This window comes from Homo sapiens, chromosome 10 (assembly GCF_000001405.40).
Source record: "Homo sapiens chromosome 10, GRCh38.p14 Primary Assembly".
NCBI lineage: Eukaryota > Metazoa > Chordata > Mammalia > Primates > Hominidae > Homo > Homo sapiens.
Window position 1 is genome coordinate 21,405,441 of NC_000010.11, and position 17,011 is coordinate 21,422,451.

General features: G+C 45.2%; 2 long non-coding RNA genes across 2 annotated transcripts, besides 1 other annotated feature; one reads left to right on the plus strand and one right to left on the minus strand.

Moving 5' to 3' along the window:
- Positions 1-7,915: 7,915 nt before the first annotated feature.
- On the minus strand, positions 7,916-9,318 carry LOC124902390 (uncharacterized). Its single transcript, XR_007062085.1, has 2 exons — positions 9,237-9,318; positions 7,916-8,207 (listed from the first exon to the last, which is right to left on the minus strand). It is a non-coding gene; the product is annotated as an uncharacterized LOC124902390 (long non-coding RNA).
- A 28-nt stretch (positions 9,319-9,346) lies between these two features.
- LOC105376445 (uncharacterized) lies at positions 9,347-13,214 on the plus strand. Its single transcript, XR_930742.1, has 3 exons — positions 9,347-9,453; positions 12,694-12,976; positions 13,124-13,214. It is a non-coding gene; the product is annotated as an uncharacterized LOC105376445 (long non-coding RNA).
- Positions 11,828-12,341: an enhancer, noted in NCBI's record as "OCT4-NANOG-H3K27ac hESC enhancer chr10:21706197-21706710 (GRCh37/hg19 assembly coordinates)". NCBI's record gives its function as "activates a minimal SCP1, AML or CMV promoter by ChIP-STARR-seq in naive and primed H9 embryonic stem cells {active_cell/tissue: H9 hESC(naive and primed)}" and the evidence as "EXISTENCE:reporter gene assay evidence [ECO:0000049][PMID:30033119]".
- Positions 13,215-17,011: the final 3,797 nt, after the last annotated feature.

The window sequence follows — 17,011 nt, forward strand, 5'->3', positions numbered from 1 at the left end:
GAGTTCAAGACCAGCCCAGCCAACATGGTGAAAGCCTGTTTCCACTAAAAACACAAAAATTACCTGGGCATGGTGGTGTGCACCTGTAATCCCAGCTACTCAGGAGGCTGAGGTAGGAAAATCGCTTAAACCCAAGGGACAAAAGTTGCAGTGAGACAAGATCATGCCACTGCACTCCAGCCTGGGTAACAAAGTGAAACTTTGTCTCAAAAAAAAAAAAAAAGAAGAAGAAGAAGAAAAGAAACATACTTGTGATACCCAATGGCTGGGCTCCGGGCTAAACCCATCCTTAATCTTGAAACCATGGCCCTAAGTGAAAACAGCTGGCCCGGTTTTTCCACCCAAATGTTGCTTTTTTTGGCCTGCCATGCCCCTATCCTGTGCCCATAAAAAGACTTCAGCTGGCAGAGCAACACATATGGCTGACCAGTGGGGACGCAAGTTGCTGAGCATTGGAGACTACGGATAGACACAGCTAACTTCAAACAGTGTGGCTTCAGGGAAAGATCACCTTCTCCCCACACCATCCCCTTTCCAACTCCCCATTCCACTGAGAGCCACATCCATTGCCCATTAAAACCCTCCACATACACCACCCTTCGATCCATTCCAGTGACCTGATTTTTCCCGGACAGCAGACAAGAACCCAGGCGCTGAGAGTGCAGGGGCTTGGATGCCGTAGGGAGTTGCACAGAGCCTGCTCCCGCCAGACAGGAGTGACCAGCCGGTTCTAGCTTCGTTCCCTCCAGTTCCCGCATTTGCTTGCTCACATGCTCCCTCTCACAAGCAGTGGCCAGGAGCAGGCTGAGTGAAAGGAGTCACTCCAGTTCCCACCCCTGAAGGGGGTCTAGGTCAAGGGAACTAGCCTGTCTCACTTTGGAATAAAATACTTTGATTTCTTCTAAGGCTTGTTGTTATCTGTCTTGTGATGCTATACCAGAGTCAAGTTGGAATTTGTTACCTTATTGCTACAAAGAGTCTGTTTTGTCAGTCTTATGATCTTTATTTTAATGTTAATGTGGTCAATTATGTTTCAACTCCAAAAGGGAGAAGGTATAATGAGGCATGTCCAACTTCCCTTCCCGTCATGGCCTGAGCTAGTTTTTTATGTTTCTTTGGAATCCCCTTGGCCAAGAGGGGAGTCCATTTAGTCACTTGGAGGACTTAGTATTTTATTTTTGGTTTACACATGAAAGAATATAGCTAAACAGAGAAAGGGAACCTGCCAGGAAGCAAGTGGCATGAAAAAAAAGAGCAAAGGAGGCCAGCCTCCTGGCAGTGGAGGGTGTGAATTTCGGGATTAGGTCAGATTGTACAGACTACTGAAACCCATAGAGAGCAAGGTAGATTTCGTGTAGAGGGAAGACATTGCTAAGTCACTGTTCAAAGGAGAACTGGATTCCTCATCAGCTTCCTTTCTCCTACTGAAAAGTCAGACTGAGAGAGAATCTCATGCCAAAACCTGTTAGAAATTTCCACCCGTTGTTATTGCCAGTGGAATTAAGTTAAGAAAAATCTAACCAGAGCCAGACCGAAAAAAGTGATAAGACACGTCACACCTCCCTCTGAGTCTACTTCCTGTCTCAGAGACGGAGGGTGTGTGGCTACCAAAATACTGAATAATAAACTGTGAAACAGCCAGAGTAAGATCCCCACGTGTAGCCCATCTCTCCACCAGAAAACTCAGGGAAAGAAAGAAGGCTGGGGAGCAGTGAGGCCCTGCCTCCTGTGAGGCTTAAACTCCACAGGAAAAATTCTATAAGTTGTAGGGGACCAAAAGTATGCACCCCACAATGACTGTAGACGACTAAAATATGCCACCCAAAAAAAATGCCTCTTTGGCATAAGGATGAGTTTGAGAAACTACAAACCCAAGAGATGTTCTGAAAACAGTAGAAGTTACCCTTTTGTAAGGGAAATTTACATCTGTAAAGGGAATCTCCATTTTTAAGGATATCTTCCTGTACAAGAAAGAGAAGGATGACTCTTAATCACAAGAGACTCTTATCACTGTGAGATGGGATTATTCCCTTGACCTTGACCCCCTTTGTGGGCAGGAACTAGAGTGGCTCGTTTCACCAAGCCTGCAGTCCATGGACAGCTAAGTGTTAACAGCTCAGTGAATGGTGAGGGTGAGAGCCTCCCGCACCTGCCCTTTTTGACACCTGAGTTCTTGTTCAGTGTCCAGGAAGAATCAGGTCACATGAACTGTTTGAAAGATGATGAACGTGGAGGACTTTACTGAATAGTGAAAGTGGCTCTCAGTGGAAGGGGAGCTGGAAAGGAGACAGTGCGGGAAGAAGGTGATCTTTCCCTGCAGTCCAGCTGTCTCTGGCCAGGCTCCCCTCTGAAACTGCACTGTCTGAAGTTAGCCGCATTTAACCATCGTCTCCAACACTCAGTTGCTTCTCTACTCACCATTCAGCAGCTTGCATCCCTGAGGCTCAGCAGCTTATATCCTTGCTGGTCAGCTGCCTGTTTTGTCTTTTCTTTTTTTTTTTTTTTTTTTTCTGCCAGCTGCTCTGGTTTTTATGGGCACAGGATAGGGGGCAGGATAGGCCAAAAAGGCAATCATTTGGGTGAAAAATGGGGCCGAGTTTCCAGGCTTGAGGGTGGAATTTAGCCAGGAGCCCAGCCCTTCTGTATCAGGGTCAGCTGTTTTCACTTAGGGTCGAATTGAGGTTCCAGGTTTGAGGATGGAGTTCAGTCAGAAGCCCAGACATTCTACATTAACTGGAGGAGGCATCAACCTAAATCTGCATAACAAGCTTTTCTCTTATTTACCATAATTTTTCTGATCACATCCCCATAAGCCTTTCCCTGCACTGTTTCTGCAGATAATGGTATTTAATCCTGAATTCAAAGCCACCTCTTTGAGATTGTACTCATTTCTCTGGATATCATCTGTGTATACATGAGGTATACATGGTAATAAGCTTCTGTTTGTTTTTCTCTTGTTAATCTGTCTTTTGTTACAGGGGTCTATCCCAACTAAGTACTATGAAAGTAATGGGGTTCAGGACATGCTATCCCAAAATATGATACTTTGGCATTTGAGAAAACAGCAGAAGCAAGAAGATCTCTCTGACCTTCTAACCTTCTCTCCTGAAGCAGGTCGTGAAAGAATTCTCTGAACTTCCCAAAATAGTCATTCCAGAAGGGTCCTTCCTATATTCACATGAAAGGAATGAAGACAGAGAAACAAAGAAGAATCTGAACAAACAAGCCTTACTAATTTTCCCCCAGTCTATTACCATTAGATCTCTTGCTCCAATCATACTTCTTTTTTTTTTTTTTTTTTTTTTTGAGACAGAGTCTAGCTCTGTCACCCAGGCTGAAGAGCAGTGGCGCGATCTTGGCTCACTGCAACCTCCGCCTCCCAGGTTCACGCAATTCTCCTGCCTCAGTCTCCCGAGTAGCTAGGATTACAGGCACCTGCCACCACACCCGGCTAATTTTTGTTTAGTAGAGACAGGGTTTCACCATGTTGGCCAGGCTGGTCTCAAACTCCTGACCTCAGGCGATCTGCGAGCCTTGGCCTCCCAGAATGCTGGGATTACAGGCGTGAGCCACTGTACCCAGCCCCAATCATCCTTCTGTAACAGTGGATGGAGTCTTAGCATGACTGACTCCATTTTGTCTCTGACCACCCCCTCCACCATGGTAATATCCTTTAGGTTCAAAAGCTTCTGCTTAACTTTGCATGCATACCATCTAATTATATGAGGAATTTAGTTTATAGTTTAGCTTTAGAAAAAAAATAATAGTCCCTTTCCCAAAACTAACCCAAGAGGAGATAAGGAGGATATATATACAAATAAAAATGTTAGGCCGGGCACGGTGGCTCACCCCTGTAATCCCAGCACTTTGGAAGGCCGAGGCAGGTGGATCACCTGAGATCAGGAGTTCAAGACCAGCCTGACCAACAGAGAGAAAACCCGTCTCTATTAAAAATACAAAAAAATTAGCCAGGCATGGTGGTGCATGCCTGCAATCCCAGCTACTCAGGAGGCTGAGGTAGGAGAATCGCTTGAACCTGGGATGCAGAGGTTGCGGTGAGGCGAGATCACGCCACTGCACTCCAGCCTAGGCAACAAGAGTGAAACGCCATCTCAAAAAAAAAAAAAATTATAGAAACATTGTGACCTGACTCAGGACAAAGAATTTTCCCAACCTCCTCGGACCCTTGCTGATGCCCAGATGTCTGTGATCATCAGTTACCTCTCTTGACCACAATCCCTCTTTTCTTCTCCCTGCCCTTAACATAAAAAGTGTCTGAAATTTGTAACTGACTTAAGATGGTTCTTTTTTTTTTTCTGAGACAGAGTCTCTGTCTGTCACCCAGGCTGGAGTGCAGTGGTGCAATCTCAGCTCACTGCAACCTCCGCCTCCTGGGCTTAAACAATTATCCTGCCTCAGCCTGCCAAGTAGCTGGGATTACAGGCATCTGCTACAATACCCAGCTAATTTTTGTATTTTTAGTAGAGACGGCATTTCACCATGTTGGCCAGGCTGGCTCGAACTCCTGGCCTCAAGTGATCCACCTGCCTCAGCCTCCCAAAGTGCTGGGATTACAGATGTGAGCCACCACACCCTGCCAAGATGGTTCTTTTGAACACTAGTCTGCCATCTTCTCAGTTTGCTGGCTCTCAGAATGAAGTTGTTTTCCTTGCCCCGATACTTTGTCTCTTGACTTACTGGCTGCTGTGCAGCAAGTGGTACGAGCTTGGATTCAGTTATATTTCTACACAGCTATCTGAAATGGGAGAGTTTCCTGATCCCCATCGTAGGATGTGCGACAGGGGCGTGGCTCACCTGTTCAGCCGCTGCTCCTGGTCAAACCTCTCAGGTGAGGGGGAGTACACAGACGGACAGATGCAGGAGCCCAAGTGGGCGTGTGTTATAGTGTGCCCTTTTTGCCCTGCCATCCACAGATGACTTAAATGTTAACCAGTTTAATGGACCCTCTGCCTTCTCACAGGGGCAGAAGGTCAATGTGACAGCTTTTTGTATCTCAAACTCTTGCCCAGCATCCTGGAAGAATCGGGGCACACATGGGCTTGAAGGGTAATGCAGGTTTTTGTTGAGTGGTGGAGGTGGCTCTCAGCAGGATGGATGGGGAGCCAGAAGTGGGGGATGGAGTGGGAAGATGATCTTCCCCTGGAGCTTGGCTGTCCAGCGGCCCAATTCCTCTCTGGCCACCCCCAGCAAAACTCCTCTCGGCATTCACATATTCCTCTTCTTCCCTCTTCCTCTGCCGCATCATTTTGCCATTCATCTGCTTGTCCCATCCCTTCATCTGCTCGTCTCCTTCTGGAGCCTGGGGTTTAGGGTTTATGTGGATACAGGATAAAGGGCATGGTGGACCAAAAGGCAATGTTTTGGGTGCAAAAACAGGAATGCCGGTCCCCATTTAGGGCTGTGGGCCTCCAGGCTTAAAGGTGGGGCCTTTGCCAGGAACTGCCCTCTTCTACCCAGTATTTCCCTGTCCTCTGTCCGTATCATATCCACTCTTCATCAAACCTAAGCATAAAAATACAGTTTTGCCAGGTGCGGTGGTGTGTGTCTGTGGTCCCACCTACTGAGAGGCTGAGGCGGGAGAATCACTTGAGCCCAGGAGTTCAAGGCTGTAGTGTGCCATGATCGTGCCTGTGAATAGCTACTGCATTCCAGTCTGGGCAACATAGCAAAACCTCACCTCTAAAAACAAAAAAAAAACCAGTTTTCCCATTTTTTTGGGTCTTCATTTCAAGACTCCTGTGTCACATAAAACTTATATTAAGTTTAGCTGGGTGTGATGGCTTACACCTGTAATCCCAGCCCTTTGGGAGGGTGAGGCAAGTGGATCACCTGAGGTCAAGAGTTGGAGACCAGCCTGGCTAACATGGTGAAACCCCACCTCTACTAAAAATACAAAAAATTAGCCAGGCATGGTGGTAGACACCTGTAATCCCAGCTAGTTGGGAGGCTGAGGCAGGAGAATTGCTTGAACCTGGGAAGCAGAGGTTGCATTCCAGCCGGGGCAACAAGAGCGAAACTCCATCTCAAAAAAAAAAATTATATTAAGTTTATATGCTTTTCTCTTGTTAATGCCTTTTGTTATAGGAGTTTCAGCCATGAACCTTGTGATGGGTGAGGGAAAGACGTTACTTTTTCTTCCCTGCAAAGGATTTGGAGAAAATTATTTTTCCTCCTCTGTAAGATTGAATTAGAGCAGCAGCCCCCAACGTTTTTGGCACCAGGGACCAGTTTCATGGAAGACAATTTTTCCACAGATGCGGGGTGGGGATGGCTTCAGGATCAAACTGTTCCACCTCAGATCATCAGGAATTAAATTCTCATAAGGAGCATGCAACCTAGATCCCTCACATGCACAATTCACAGTAGAGTTCATGCTTCTATGAGAATCTAATGCAGCCTCTGATCTGATAGGCAGAGCTCAGATGGTGTACTAGTCTGTTTTCACACTGCTGATACAGACATAGCCTAGACTGGGTCATTTTTAAAGAAAAAGAGGTTTAATGGACTCACAGTTCCATGTGGCTGGGGAGGCCTCACAATCATGGCAGAGGGCGAAAGGCACGTCTTACGTGGTGGCAGACAAGAGCAAAAAAAAAGAGATAAGCAAAGAGAGCCAAGCGAAAGAGGTTTCCTCTTATAAAACCATCAGATCTCATGAGACTTATTCACTACCATGAGAACAGTATAGGGGAAACCACTCCCATGATTCAATTACCACCATCAGGTCCCTCCCACAACATGTGGGGATTATGGGAGCTAGAATTCAAGATGAGATTTGGGTGGGGACACAGCCAAGCCATATCAGGTGGTAATGGTCGCTCACCCACAGCCCACCTTCTGCTATCCACCCTGGTACCCAAGAGACCATGGACCAGTACCCATCCATAGCCAAGGGGTTGGAGACCCCGAGTTAGAGAACAGAAGGATCCTGCTGCAGTCTGTCATGGAGATTGCAATCTACCCTGGAGATTGTGGTCCTCCCTGGGGATTACAGTTCACCCTGAGGGTTACAGCTGATGGTTCAAAGAATCAAAGGGTGTGTCAGGGGGCTGGTTAAGAAGTCCTACCTGAATACTGCAAGAGCCCTCAGATGAATCTGTTTTAGGACATGAGTAGGGGGCTGAGCACATCAATCTGCCCCCAGCTATGGCTGTAAGAAGTATATAATGAATAGAGCCAAGGGCAGTGAATACTTTAGTCTGTCAGCAATCATCAAGCGTGAACAGATTTACCTTTTGTTTGAAGCTCAGAAAAGGGAGGAGGAAAAAATGTGAGCACTGCAAAATCACACTTAGACAAAGGAAAAGGGAAAAATACACAGAAGTTCACAGAAAAGGCCTACAACTGAAAATGATCCAATGCAGGATCCAGGGGAGAAAAATTAGGAAGCCATTAGATATCCTTAATACGGTCAAGGCAAAAAACTCCAAGTGATCAATTTGTAGAAGTAACAAATACTATAAAGAGAAAACATGGCTGGGCACGGTGTCTCATGCCATGCCTATAATCCCAGCATTTTGGGAGGCTGAGCAGAGCAGATCGCTTGAGATCAGGAGTTTGAGACCAGCCTGGCCAACATAATGAAACCCTGTCTCTACAAAAAAATACAAAAATTAACCGGGCATCGTGGCAGGCACCTGTAATCCCAGCTACTCAGGAAGCTGAGACAGGAGAGTCATTTGAACCTGTGAGGCGGAGGTTGCAGTGAGCTGAGATCACGTTATTGCACTCCAGCCTGGGCAACAGAGCTAGACTCTGTCTCAAAAAAAAAAAAAAAAAAGAAAAGAAAGAAAGAAAGAAAGAAAAGAGAGAAAACAGGTTGAAATGAAAGCCAAAAAAAATCATTAGATTAGTTAACGCTCTTTACTTGCAAATAAGTAAAGAAAAATGGAAGCAAGAGAGGAGAAGGGATTTATTGTAAGAATATGAGGTGATTTTCAGGCTTGAGGGGCAGCCACAGAGCAGGGCCAGAGCTGGAACGCTGTGGGGAATGGGGGTGGCGCTCTCTCTGATCTTTCTTCGTCCGGCTTTCTCACCAGCAAAGGATATGATGAATACTTTCCATTTCAGTCCCAGTGATAGAAGAAACAGTGGCATCTCATTTTAATATGTATTTCTTTGATTATTAGAGAAGTTGAGCATGTTTTCGTGTTTATCAGTATTCCCATTCAGTCTGAGCAGGGGTGCTATGAAAAATGAGATGAGAGAATAGAAAATAATTTTGAAAAAAATATATGGAGGCTGCTGTGTTACTCTACTTTTGCAAGAAATGAAGAGTGGTTTATATTGAATACATATTTCAAATAAATTTCGAAGTTCATCAGGTTTCTATTAAAGAAGAGCAATGTTTATATACACAGAGTCAGTTTAGGTGATGAAATTGCAACCAAGAAAAGAAGCACTTGATGTCTAGATAGATAAAGATCAGTTATTCCGCCCTAAACCAAACCTCCCCCACTCACCAAAAAAAAAATTAGTTAAGAAAAGAAAAAAATGGTAAACCTGAAAGGTATTTGATGTCCTAGGTTATCCTTTCTAAACTGTCTTTGATTTTGGGGGACTTTATCTCCTTCAGGGAAAGAATGTATGGTTCACTTAGCTCTACTTATGGTACAACAGCCCCCTGCTTATCTTTGTGGGATGCATTCCAAGACCCCCCAGTGGAAGTCTGAAACCATGGATTGTACTGAATCCTACGTATATATGTTTTTTTCCTATACATACAAATCTATGATGTTTAATTTATAAATTAGGCACAGTAAGAGATTAATAATAGGTAATAGGTCAAGACCTGGTGGCTCACACCTGTAGTCCTAGCACTTTGGGAGGCCAAGGCAGACGGATCACTTGAGGTCAGGAGCTCAAGACCAGCCTGGCCAACATAGTGAAACCCCATCTCTACTAAAAATACAAAAAAAAAAAAAAAATAGCCGGGCGTAGTGGCAGGCACCTGTAATCCTAGCTACCTGGGGAGGCTGAGGCAGGAGAATTGCTTGAACCCAGAAGGAGGAGGTTGCAGTGAGCAGAGATTGCACCACTGCACTCCATCTGCATCTCCAGCCTGAGCCACAGAGCAAGACTCCATCTTAAAAAAAAAAAAAAAAAAAGCTACAATAATAGCTAATAATAAAATAGAATAATTCTAACAATATACTGCAATAAAAGTTACACAAATGTGTTCTCTCTCTCAAAATATCTTACTGTTCTATACTCACCGTTCTTCTCGTGATGACGTGAGATGATACGATGCCTACCTGGTGAGATGCAGTGAGGTGAATGACGGGCATTGTGATGTCATGTTAGGCAACTACTGACCTTCTGATAATATGTCAGAGAAAGGATGATCTGCTTCAGGTGATCCTGGATCACAGAGCCATGACCATCTTGATGGTTGGATGTCAGGAGCAGAATATGTCAATGACTAGCAGACAGGTAGCATCCACAATGTGAATACGCTGGACAAAGGGATGATTTGTACAGGGTGGGGCAGAGAAGAGACCCCCCCCCGCCCCACCGCCATTATTTCATCATGCTACTCAGAGCGGCAAGCAGTTTAAAAGTTATGAATGGTTTATTTCTGGAATTTGCCGTTTAGTATTTTCAGACCACAGTTGACCTTGGGTAACTGAAACCTTGGAAAGCGAAACTGCAGAGGAGGGACTACTATATTTTCCTCAAGTTTTTTTGTTTTGATTTTGGTTTTTTTGTGTTTTTTGTGGGAGGGGGGGTTGTTTTGTTTTGTTTTGAGATGTCTTCATTGTGTTGCCCAGGCTGGAGTGCAGTGGTACAATCTCAGCTCACTGCAACCTCCGCCTCCTGGGTTCAAGCGATTCTCCTGCCTCAGCCTCCCGAGTAGCTGGGGCTACAGGCACGCACCACCATGTCCAGCTAATTTTTGTAGTTTTAGTAAAGACGGGGTTTCACTACGAAGGTCAGGCTGGTCTCGAACTCCTGACCTTGTGATCCGCCTGCCTCAGCCTTCCAAATTGCTGGGATTACAGGCTGAGCCACTGCACACGGCCTTTTGTGTGTGTGTGTGTGTGTGTGTGTGTGTGTGTGTGTGTGTGTTCTAAATATGTTTAGAGACAGGGTTTTGCTATGGTGCCCAGGCTGGGGTGCAGTGGTTATTCACAGATGCAATCATCATGCACCGAAGCCTCAAACTTCCGGGCTCAAGCAATTCTCCTGCCTCAGCCTCCTGAGTAGTTGGGACTACCACTCAGGTGTGCACCATAGCGCCCAGCATTTTCCTCAAATTTTAACCCAATAAAATCAAAACAACTAATAGGAGTTACTTGAGTCTGTTTTGGGAGTTAGTTTTCTCATTTAGAAGTTTGGTCAATACAAAAAGAGACATGCCAAGCCAGGCACGGTGGCTTATGCCTGTAATCCCAGCACTTTGAGAGGCTGAGGCAGGCAGATCACTTGAGGCCAGGAGTTCGAGACCAGCCTGGCCAACATGGCGAAACCCTGTCTCTACTAAAAATACAAAAATTAGCTGGGCGTGGCGGTGCACGCCTGTGGTCTCAGCTACTCCAGAGGCTGAGGTAGGAGAATCACTTGAACCCAAAAGGCAGAGGTGGCAGTGAGCCGAGATTGTGCCACTGCACTCCAGTCTGGGCGACAGAGCAAGACCCTGTCTCAAAAAAAAAAAAAGAGGCATGCCTTCTCAGGGTTAGTTTATCAATGGCATAATGAGGAAAAAAACTGAATTATATTGACTGCTCTTCCTCTTAGTATAAAGATGATGTAGGCCAGGCATGGTGGCCCAAGCCTGTAATCTCAGCACTTTGGGAAGCTTAAGACAGGAGGATTACTTGAGCCCAGGAATTCAAGACCAGCCTGGACAAGGTAGCAAGAGCCTTTCTCTACAAAAAAATTAAAAAATTAGCCAGGCATGGCCGGGCACGGTGGCACACGCCTATAATCCCAGCACTTTGGGAGGCTGAGGTGGGCAATTCACCTGAGGTCGGGAGTTTGAGACCAGCCTGACCAACATGAAGAAACCCCGTCACTACTAAAAATGCAAAAATTAGCCAGGCGTGGTGGTGCATGCCTGTAATCCCAGGTACTGGGAAGGCTGAAGCAGGAGAATCACTTGAACCTGGGAGGTGGAGGCTGCGGTGAGCCGAGATCGTGCCACTGCATTCCAGCCTGGGCAACAAGAGTGAAACTCCACCTCAAAAAAAAAAAAAAAATTAGCCAGGCATGGTGGCCTGCACCTATAGTGCTAGCTACTCAGGAGGCTGAGGTGGAAGGAGGCCAAGGCTGCAGTGAGCTCTGATTGTGCCACTTGCATTTCAGCCTGGATGACAGTGCAAAACTCTGTCTCCACAAAAAAAAAAAAAGACAATGTGATTTACATGTATCTTCTTCAATATTCTTCCACCAATTGGGCATCGCTTTTAGAGTATTCTTTTTTTTTTTTTTTTTTTTTTTTTTTAGACAGAGTCTTGCTCTGTCACCCAGGCTGGAGTGCAGTGGCACCATCTCGGCTCACTGCAACCTCCACCTCCCAGGTTCAAGCGATTCTCCTGTCTCAGCCTCCCGAGTAGATGGGATTACAGGCACCCGCCACCACACCCGGCTAATTTTTGTATTTTTAGTAGAGACGAGGTTTCACCATGTTAGTCAGGCTGGTCTGGAACTCCTGACCTCAGGTGATCCACTCGCCTCGGCCTCCCAAAATGCTGGGATTACAGGCGTGAGCCACCGTGCCCAGTCGTTTAGAGTATTCTTTTACAAACTTTTTTCCCAATTGAGACTATATCTTCACTATAAAAACACCATCATGTATTATTGAATCTGTCATGAGAGAGAGGAAAGAGAAAGAGAGAAGAGACTCTCCCCCAGTAAGGACTCCCTGAGCTGGCAGAGCCTGTCCCTGGGCCCCTGGGCCCTAGTGGGAAAGGCCTAATCCCAACTGGGCAAAAAGATCTATCTTGAGGGTGTAAATCGAAGACCATTAGCATTTCCAAATACTCTGCCAAATGGTTAATTATAATCAGAAAGAAGAGTTCTTCACCACTTAACACAAAATTAAGCACATTGCCTCCCAGAGAGGGGTCTGTAGTATGAAAACAACATCCTTTTGGTCAGGTGCAGGGGCTCACGTCTACAACCCCAGCACTTTAGGAGGCTGAGGTAGGCGAATCGCTTGAGACCAGCATGGGCAACATAGTGAAACCCCATCTCTACATAAAAATACAAAAATTAGCTGAGTGTGGTGGTATGTGCCTGTATTCCAGCTATTGAGAGGCTGAGGTGGGAGGATCGCTTGACCCAGGGAGGTCGAGGATGCAGTGAGCCAAGATCACATCAGTGCACTCCAGCCTGGATTGTAGAACCAGAACTTACCTCTAAAAACAAACAAACAAACAAACAGAAAACAAAAATACCCAACTGAACTTCTGTAAGCCCTAAAATCTGCCTTTATTTTCTTTTTCTGGCTCCAGTTTTCTAACACTCCACCCTAGAGGTATAAACAAAGCAAATCTCATGAGAGACTATTTCCATCTAGTTCCTCACGAACCATTTATTTGGTCTTCATAAGACACTCCAACACATGCGATGCAAATCTAATGTTGAAAAAGATTTTTTTTTAATGCTATTTGCCTGACCAGAGATAACAAACAGGATACCTTATTCTGGTTTCTGATTTCTCTTTTATAGGAAATATTTTCATGCCATCCATAGAACAATAAAGGAAGCCAAATGAAACCTCTGCGCCTCGCTCCCTGAATCCAAGCAGCGATGCCGCTACCCCGTGTTAAGGATCCGTTTCTGATTTAGAAGGGCCTAGACATAAGCTCATGAAGCCGAGCATCCAAAAGCAAAACTCAACATCAAACATGTCTCGAACTATGACGTGTACTTTCCAATTTACCCTCGGAGTGGGAATACTTCTGTCATCTGTATAGCATTTAAAGGAAAAATGCCCATTAAGGAGGAGAAGGTAAGAGTAAGCAAATCGTTTTTGCACATCTGAAAACCCTCCTGTTTCAAAAACTTGAAACAGTTGGAAATTCAGCTGGCCAGAAAGATCTGAACTTAGACTCACTTCAAAGCAACCCAGCGAACACTGGCATTGTTTGTTTCCTAGGGGCTCCCCTTGCTCCTTCTGTCCGTCCTCTGTCAGAATAAGAACTTCAGGCCATGCGCGGTGGCTCATGCCTACAATCCCAGCACTTCAGGAGGCCGAGGTGGGCAGATTGCTCGAGCTCAGGAGTTCGAGACCAGCCTGGGCAACATGACGAAATCCCATCTCTACAAAAAACAGAAAAATTAGCCAGACATGGTGGCACACACCTGTAGTTCCAGCTACTCGGGAGGCTGAGGTGAGGGGGATCACTTGAATCCAGGAGGACAAGGCTGCAGTGAGCTATGATCATACTACTGCACTCCATCAGACCAACACCCTGTCTCAAAATATAAAAAATAAAAATTGGCCGGGCACCGTGGCTCACGACTGTAATCCCAGCACTTTGGGAGGCCCAGGCAGGTGGATCACGAGGTCAGGAGATCAAGACCGTCCTGTCTAACACGGTGAAAACCCATCTCTACTCAAAATACAAAAAATTAGCCGGGCGTGGTGGCAGGTGCCTGTAATCCCAGCTACTCAGGAGGCTGAGGCAGGAGAATCGCTTGAATCCAGGAGGCAGAGAATGCAGTGAGCTGAGATCACACCACTGCATTCCAGTCTGGTGACAGAGCAAGACTCTATCTTAAAAAAAAAAAAAAAGGCAGTGGGGCTAAAGAGAAAAAGAGGCAGGGCATGGTGGCTTACTCCTGTAATCCCAGCAATTTGGGAGGCCAAGGCAGGAGGATTGCTTGAGTCCAGGAGTTCAAGACCAGCCTGGACAACATAGCAAGACCCTACCTCTACAAAAAATGTAAAAATTAGCCAGGTGTGGTGGTGCATGCCTATAGTCCTAGCTACCCAGGAGGCTAAGGCAGAAGGATTGCCTAAATCCAGCAGTTGGAGGCTGCAGTGAGCCATGATCATGCCACAGCACTCTAGCCTGGGCAACAGAGAGAGACTCTGTCTCAAAAGAGAGGGAGAAAAAAAGGGAATCTCAAAATTGGGGTTCATTGTGAAAATTAAGGTATTCTTATTTTATTTTTTAGGGGAGGAAAACTGTCTTTTCCTCACACATGGCTAAGACACCCATAACAAAAGACAGATTAACAAGAGAAAAGCATACATACAGATTGATTTAATGTAAGTTTTGTTTGTTTGTTTGTTTGTTTTGGAGACGGAGTCTCGCTCTGTTTTCTAGCCTAGAGTGCAGTGGTGCGATCTCAGCTCACTGCAACCTCTGCCTCCCAGGTTCAAGCAATTCTCCTGCCTCAAGCTCCCAAGTAGCTGCAACTACAGGCGCATGCCACCACGCCTGGCTAATTTTTTGTGTTTTTTAGTAGAGACAGGGTTTCACTGTGTTAGCCAGGATGGTCTCAATCTCCTGACCTTATGATCCACCTGCCTCAGCCTCCCAAAGTGCTGGGATGACAGGCATGAGCCACCACGCTGGGCAGATTTAATGTAAGTTTTACATGGCAAAGGAGCCTTTAGAAATGAAGACCCGGCCGGGTGTGGTGGAGCGCACCTGTAACCCCAGCTACTCAGGAGGCTGAGACAGGAGAATCACTTCAACCCAGAAGGCAGAGATTGCAGTGAGCCCAGATGAAGCCACTGCACTCCAGCTTGGGCAACAGAGGGAGACTCTGTCTCAAAACAAACAAACAAATAAACAAACAAACAAATGAAGACACAAAGAAACAGTCAACCTGAGTGTTTGTTATAGTAGGTTTGAAGAAGAGTGGACAGTTGTGGAGAAATATGAGCAGGCAAAAAGAGAATGATCTAATAGTAATAAACTGGGGGAAACTAAGCCAGGCCTGTTTGTTCCAATTCTTCCCTGTGACCCTGTGTCTTCAGAGATAAGGATGTCCCTTTCCTCCTGGTATAGGCAGGGCATCTCTCACGTGAAAGTCTTACACCCTGCTTCAGCTGAGAACAGCAGGGAAAGGTCGGGGAGAGCTTCCTGCTTCTGATGTTTTCTCAAGTTCCTTCAGCTTAAAATATTCAGTATGCCAAAGTGCCATATTTTAGGGTAATGTATCCTAAACCCTATCAATTGCCTTATTTTTATTTATTTATTTATTTGAAAGAGTCTTGCTCTGTTGCCCAGGCTGGAGCGCAGTGGTGCAATCACAGCTCACTGTAGCCTTGACCTCCCTGGCTCAAGTGATCCTCCCACCTCGGCCTCCTGAGTAGATGGGACCACAAGTGCAAGCCACCACATCTGGCTAATTTTTTAAATTTTGTTGTAGAGAGAGGGTCTCACCTTGTTGCCCAGGCTGGTCTCGAACTCCTGGGCTCAACTGATCCTCCTGCCTTGGCCTCCCAAAGTGTTAGCATTACAGATTTGAGCCATCGTGCCCTGCCATTCCATCAATTGCTTTATGTTGTTTTTATACATGTGGGAAGTCACCCTCTGGGCAGAGTTAGGGCCTGTAAAGGACTCATTTCATTCTACAGTTACATGTTTTGGCAGAAACAGTTTTTGCACCCCTGGAAAGCTAAATAGAGGAGCACATGAGATGTCACTGCAAAGAAGCAGATTTTGTGATTAGTTTATGAAAACTCTCTCATTATCTCCTAATAGCACTTTTGCTACTTGTGGGTTACATGTGATTAAAGGTTTGCTCTGAGTCTTTGTGTAATTAGCTCTGTGTGCATGTGTGCGCATGTAAGTGTTTGGAAAAGCATGTGTGTGCAAGATATGGGTGAGTAAAGGATCCCAAATGGGATCCTAATCTCAAAAACGTTGGCTCAGAAGTGAGACAGATTGACACAATCTATAAAATGAATAAGAAACAGAAAGGAAATTGAGTCAGAAGAGGAAAAGGGCCAACATTATTGAAAAGGCACAAATGCCACAAATTGAAAATAGATGTGCACCACCAGTTGTAACTGTTTGCCATGCTGCTGCAACGTTTAAAAATTACCAGCTCTATAACACAATTCAATACTGTGTTTAATAACCTGAGTGGGTTTAGACATTCGCCATTCACATGTGAAAGAAGTTTAGGTCAGGCTGAAGAAAAAACTTACTGAAGAATATAAAGGGTTTTTAGTTTATAGGCATAATTTATAATATTTTAATTAACCTAAATTTTTATAAAATAGTGCCTACATTTCAGAGAGAAGCAAAATATCAGGGAAATGATCCCCAATTTATCATTTCTCATTAATAGGAAGAAGTTAATTCTACTTTCTGAAAACCTTTCATTTTGATCGACTTTGCCCATGTAAAAATGGAGAAATGTAATGTGATATTTTAAATCTCATAGACAGGTTTAGCATGAAATGTTACAAGAAAATGGAAGAGGCATGTAGATCGTAGCTGATTTCCCCCTGGAATGTGTTTTCTTGAAGGTTTAGGTACTTTTGCAAATCTCCTGAGCTTGTATAATGGTTTACTCTTTTTCAAAGGGCTTTTACATTCCTGATCCTTGTTGATCCCCATTAACAGCTTTGCCCGATGCATGAGTATTAAGCATAAGGAGAGTGAGCCACAGAGATGTTGTGTAGTTTATTCAAGATGTCACAGCCAGTGACAGCCCCACAACAAGTAATTTCTATTCTCCTTCCAGTAGTCACTAATGCCTCCCTAGAATAAGACAAAGGTTATCCGCACATCCCCGTCCAAGAACTGTGGAGCTATAGAGCCTCCCATCATATTGTATTGTAGTGAGATTACTCAAGGGGCATTTCTTGTCAGAGGGTACCACGCGGCCACCCAGGTTGTGCGTGTTCATTCTGATCAGTTGGTGCCTGGGCCATGATAAATATTTGAATATCACCTGTGATTACATGTAAAGAAGAAAAGGCCCTGGATGGTCCTTGTTTTTTGTTTTTTGTTTCTTTTGAGACGGAGTTTAGCTCTTGTTGCCCAGGTTGGAGTGCAGTGGTGCGATCTCGGCT